This window comes from Homo sapiens, chromosome 10, assembly GCF_000001405.40.
Source record: "Homo sapiens chromosome 10, GRCh38.p14 Primary Assembly".
In the NCBI taxonomy this organism is placed as follows: domain Eukaryota; kingdom Metazoa; phylum Chordata; class Mammalia; order Primates; family Hominidae; genus Homo; species Homo sapiens.
In genome coordinates, this window is record NC_000010.11 from 117,458,386 (window position 1) to 117,463,433 (window position 5,048).

The 5,048-nt window shown below is 49.1% G+C and overlaps 1 annotated feature.

Moving 5' to 3' along the window:
• Positions 253-547: a silencer, noted in NCBI's record as "tiled region #14976; HepG2 Repressive non-DNase unmatched - State 22:ReprW, and K562 Repressive non-DNase unmatched - State 22:ReprW". NCBI's record gives its function as "represses a minimal TATA promoter and a strong SV40 promoter by Sharpr-MPRA in HepG2 and K562 cells {active_cell/tissue: HepG2 | K562}" and the evidence as "EXISTENCE:reporter gene assay evidence [ECO:0000049][PMID:27701403]".

The following is a 5,048-nucleotide window of genomic DNA, read 5'->3' on the forward strand; positions in this document are numbered from 1 at the left end:
CCTAGCTGCCCCATCACCACCTTGCCTGACTCTGCCCATCACACCCCCGAGCCCTGCCTCGTCCCCTGCCAGCAGCATGTGGGCCCCCGACCCGTGTCTACCCCCATGGAGCTCCATTTTCCTAACACCTGGCACAAGCACGACCTAGTGAAATGCTCACAGCATCTCTTCGAGATCGGTGGCGTTTTCTCATTCATTTTTCAGATGGGTAAGCTGAGGCTTAGAAAGTTATGATGTGTAAGGTCATGTTGGCTACTAACAGCTTAGACTGGATTGGAGCCCTGTTTGTCTGCCTTACGTTCTTAACCTTGACACCTCCCATAAACTCTTTTGACCTCTTTTGACTAAAAAAGAGAATGTTTCAATGACTAGGATTTGTTTGATTTAACCCCGGACGGCTGTAGCAACACAGAACGTTTGGCTGAGTGCCTGACACAGAATAAGCATGAAATGATTGTCAGCTATTAGAGTAATGAAAACAACTAATGATATAATAGGAACAACTTCCAGTAGGGTCCTGATGTTTGACAGAGGAAAGTTTGGCCTCCACACAGTGGAGCTCTGTGTACAGGGAAGCAGAGGTCCCCAGGTAGGGCTCTCTGCCTTCCTTCTAGTCACCTTCTGGGGCCATCTTTCCACGTCTGTCAGTGATAACTAGTGAGGTAGTAGTCATACCTCATCCCCACATCGTTAGAGAAGTTTCAAACTGTTTTCATGGCCTCTGTCTGATTTGATCCTCACTATAAGCCTGTGAGGTGGGGAGAGTAATAACATTTTGTTCCCAGTTCACAGATGGGGAAATTGGAGCCCAGATGGGTGAAGTGACTCTCCCAATGTCACACAGCCTATTTGAAGCTGAGCTGGGACAAGTACTGCAAAGCCTTCCCCCTCTTTGTCCAAATGGGAGATGTTGATGTAGAGTGGCACAGGTTTGTAGAGCAGGGAAGACCCTCTGGGCATCACCTTATCCAAGTCCTTCTCTGTACGGATGAGTGAACTGGAGAGCAGAGAGCATCATGAAGTGTCCAAGTTCAAAGAGCTGGCTGGGGGGGAAATGCCCAAGAGGGTTTTCCTCCTACTGCTGGTGGTGTGATATGCACAAGGACACGCAACAGCAAAGATGATGCTTGTACACACATCTCCTTTAACTACTAATATAACAAAGCACAGAGCTCTTTAGTTCTGCTGCTAAAGGTTGCAAAAGGAAACATTATATAAAACATGAGGCCAGGCGGCCGGGCCTGGTGGCTCACGCCTGTAATCCCAGCACTTTGGGAGGCCGAGGCGGGTGGATCATGAGGTCAGGAGATCGAGACCATCCTGGCTAACAAGGTGAAACCCCGTCTCTACTAAAAATACAAAAAATTAGCCGGGCGCAGTGGCGGGCGCCTGTAGTCCCAGCTACTCGGGAGGCTGAGGCAGGAGAATGGCGTGAACCCGGGAAGCGGAGGTTGCAGTGAGCCGAGATTGCGCCACTGCAGTCTGCAGTCCGGCCTGGGCGACAGAGCGAGACTCCGTCTCAAAAAACAAACAAACAAACAAAAAAAAAAACAAAAAACATGAGGCCAGGCACAGTGGCTCATGCCTGTAATCCCAGTACTTTGGGAGGATGAGGCAGGAGGACCTCTTGAGCCCAGGAGTTTGAGATGAGCCTGGGCAACATGGTGAAACCCTGTCTCTACTTAAAAAAAAATAGCCTGGCATGGTGGCACATGCCTGTAGTCCCAGCCACTTGGGAGGCTGAGGCAGGAGGATTGTAGTGTAGCAGGACAAGCCTCAGACAAAACCCCTCAGACACCGAGTTAAAGAAGGAAGGGCTTTATTCGGTCAGGAGCTTTGGCAAGACTCACGTCTCCAACAACCGAGCTCCCCAAGTGAGCAATTCCTGTCTCTTTTAAGGGCTCACAACTCTAAGGGGAGCCACGTGAGAGGGTCGTGATCGATTGAGCAAGCAGGGGGAACATGACTGGGGGCTGTACGCACCGGTAATTCGAATGGAACAGAACAGGACAGGGATCTTTGCAGTGCTTTTTTTATGCAAATAACTGATTAGGTCAGGGGTCAATCTTTAACTACCAGGCCCAGGGTATGGCACTGGGCTGTCTGCTTGTGGATTTCATTTCTGCCTTTTAGTTTTTACTTCTTCTTTCTTTGGAGGCAGAAATTGGGCATAAGACAATATGAGGGGTGGTCTCCTCCCTTAATGAAGCCAGGCGCAGTGGCTCATGCCTGTAATCCCAGTACTTTGGGAGGCTGAGGCAGGAGGACCACTTGAGCCCAGGAGTTTGAGATGAGCCTGGGCAACATGGTGAAACCCTGTCTCTACTTAAAAAAAAAAAAAAAAAAAAAAAAAGCCTGGTGTGGTGGCACATGCCTGTAGTCCCAGCTACTTGGGAGGCTGAGGCAGGAGGATTGCTTGAGCCTGGGAGGCAGAGGTTGCAATGAGCTAAGATTGTGCCACTGCACTCTAGCCTGGGTGACAGAGCAAGACCCTGTCTCAAGAAACTCACAAAAATCCAACAAAACAAACGGACAAAAAACATGAGCATGCTAGAAAATGTAGAAGAAGGTGGACTCCTGGAGAGGAGAGGTTTTGAAATCAGATGACCTGTGCTTCTCAGCTGAGTGACCATGGGTAAATGACTTCATCCCACTGAGTCTCATGGAAATAACAATGCCCACCTCACCTAGCTATTTAAAAGTTTTAATGTGTGTAAAGCACTTAGTTCAAGCTTGGGCCATAGTAGGCACTCAGTGAGTGAAGCTATTATTAATGCTGGTTAGTGTTACTATTGATATATATTTTTGCCTCCTCCAAGCATCCTGCAGAGTGCTGAGCCCAGAGAAGGCAGGAACTGTCTCTCTCTCACTCACCTCTGCATCTCTGGTGCCCAGGCATGGCCTGGCACAAAGCCGGCACTTGGTAAAGTTCATTGGGTTGAACTCAAGACTTGCTATTCTTCACTGTTATGTGTCACTTTGGACTTTTCCAAATCCTCTGAGTACAGTATTCCATGTGAGCCCTGCCCGATGCCTGTGGGGCAGGCAGGACAAATGATGTTGTCCTTCCCATTTTATAGCTAAGGAAAATTGAGGCTGGGAGAGATGATGCTTCCTGCCCAAGTCACAGGACTGAGCTGAGATGGGATGAGTCTCTTCAGACTCTGGGTTACGTGGCCACTCTGTGTAAATAGCATCCTTTGGAGGAGGATCCCCAGAGAGACCGTCCCCTTCATTAAATCCAAGGGCTTCTTGCCCATAGATTCAAAAAGGGCTTCAGAGAATGTTTGAGCGAAATTCATCAGGTCACACTGATCTTGGCCCCTCTTCCTACACAGGCTCAGCCCTGCTGTTGAAACTGCGGTAGAGCTGGATGCTCCCAGCCCAGCAGAAAGGACCTAGGGAGCTATGCAGATTTCAGGCAGGGGCTGCCTAGGACCCTCAAAGGAGCTGGAAGCAAGAGGCCTTGCCTGGCCACAGAAGACACCCAGGTCCTACATCCAGGCCTGGCTGACAGCCTCACTGACAGGTTTATTATCAAGTTTTACGACTTTCAAGCTTAGTCACTGCTTAAGTCAGCCTGCCCAGAAACAAACACATAGCAAAGCCCTGACCCAGATGCTGACGCCAGGAAAGGCGCACCCCGCCCCTGGCAGAGCTGGCTCCCAGGACCAAGTCTGGGGAGACAGCGAGGCTGGGGCTGGTTGAGATGTATTTTGGTGATCCACATGGTTGTCCTTTATTTTCCTCAAGTCTCCACTACCGAGCTTGTGGGGTGTAGGAGGCAGAGGCTGTCTGCCTGCAGAGATGGCCTGACACTTACCAAGGCATCTGATCCCCTGCCCCCAGGCCTTCCTTGAGAACTAAGCCTCTGACATACAACTCACACCCCCTCCTGGCTTTCAGGTCACGAGTGAAAGGTGGAAGCCCAAACCTTGACCCAAAGCCCTTCAATCTCAGATTCCAATTCCCATTGTTCCCCTGCCCACCTGCTATCCCTGTATGTGGCCTCTATTAAAGCCAAAACTTCCCCAGAATCTCTCTAGCCTTGACACAGCACTGCGGTTCTTCCTCCCTGGGGCTGCAGCAGGCCTGGATGGAGTGGCAACAGCCCCTCTGCCCAACTGTGTGTGGCAGAGCCCAGGGGCAGGGCAACAAGGAACCCTAACAGTGGGGCAGCCCCTCCTGGTGGCCGAGGCTGCAAGGATCTGGGGACCCGCTTCCTGCTGGTTGCTTCTTCCTCTGGTTCATTTAGGGCGCCTTCTCAGGCTGGAGAAGAAATGAGGAGCCGAGTTAACTGGAGACTGGCTCTGGGCTGATTAACTGCAAGAATCTCCTCACTGATCTCCCGCTGGAGTGAGAGCTGCATACCAGCCCCTTGAATTGAAGAATAATAATCATTTCTCCTTTTTCTTTTGGGGATGTTTACCTTCTCATATATAAACCATTTCTTTCATTCTCTTTCCCAACATATGCTGACATTTTATTCTAAAAGTTACTCTTGCTCTCTAACTAATTATAATACAGTAAGATCTACTGTAATGCTATTAAATGGGGACTAAAAATTAACACACATTAAATGTGAGGTGGCATTCTTGAGAAGTTTTGAGAATGACTGGGTGAACCTTGTAGCTGGGCAGCTCTGGGCTCTAGAGGTCTGCTGTCAATTGTATCACATCCAAAGTTAGATCATCACAGGTGTCCAGCAATGCAGGGTTTTGCAGGAGCAGCACCAATACTTACATTTTGTACTTTAGCCCCAGAAAGTCCTAGATGTAAATCCCAATTCTGCCACTTACTAATTTATGACACAAGCCTATGTAGAAACCTCAGTTCTGTGTTTTTTCATCTGTAAAATGGGAGAAATAATACTGGCCTCTTAGAATTGTGAAGTTTGAAAGTGTATCAGCTAGCTACTGCTGTGTAACAACCAGTCATCACCTTTCAGAGGCAGACAGCAATGAGTATTTATTTCTCATGTTTTTGAGGTTTGGCTAGGACCAAGTCTGCTTCCAGTGGCAAGTCTGGCTGGCTCAGGCAGATTCGTG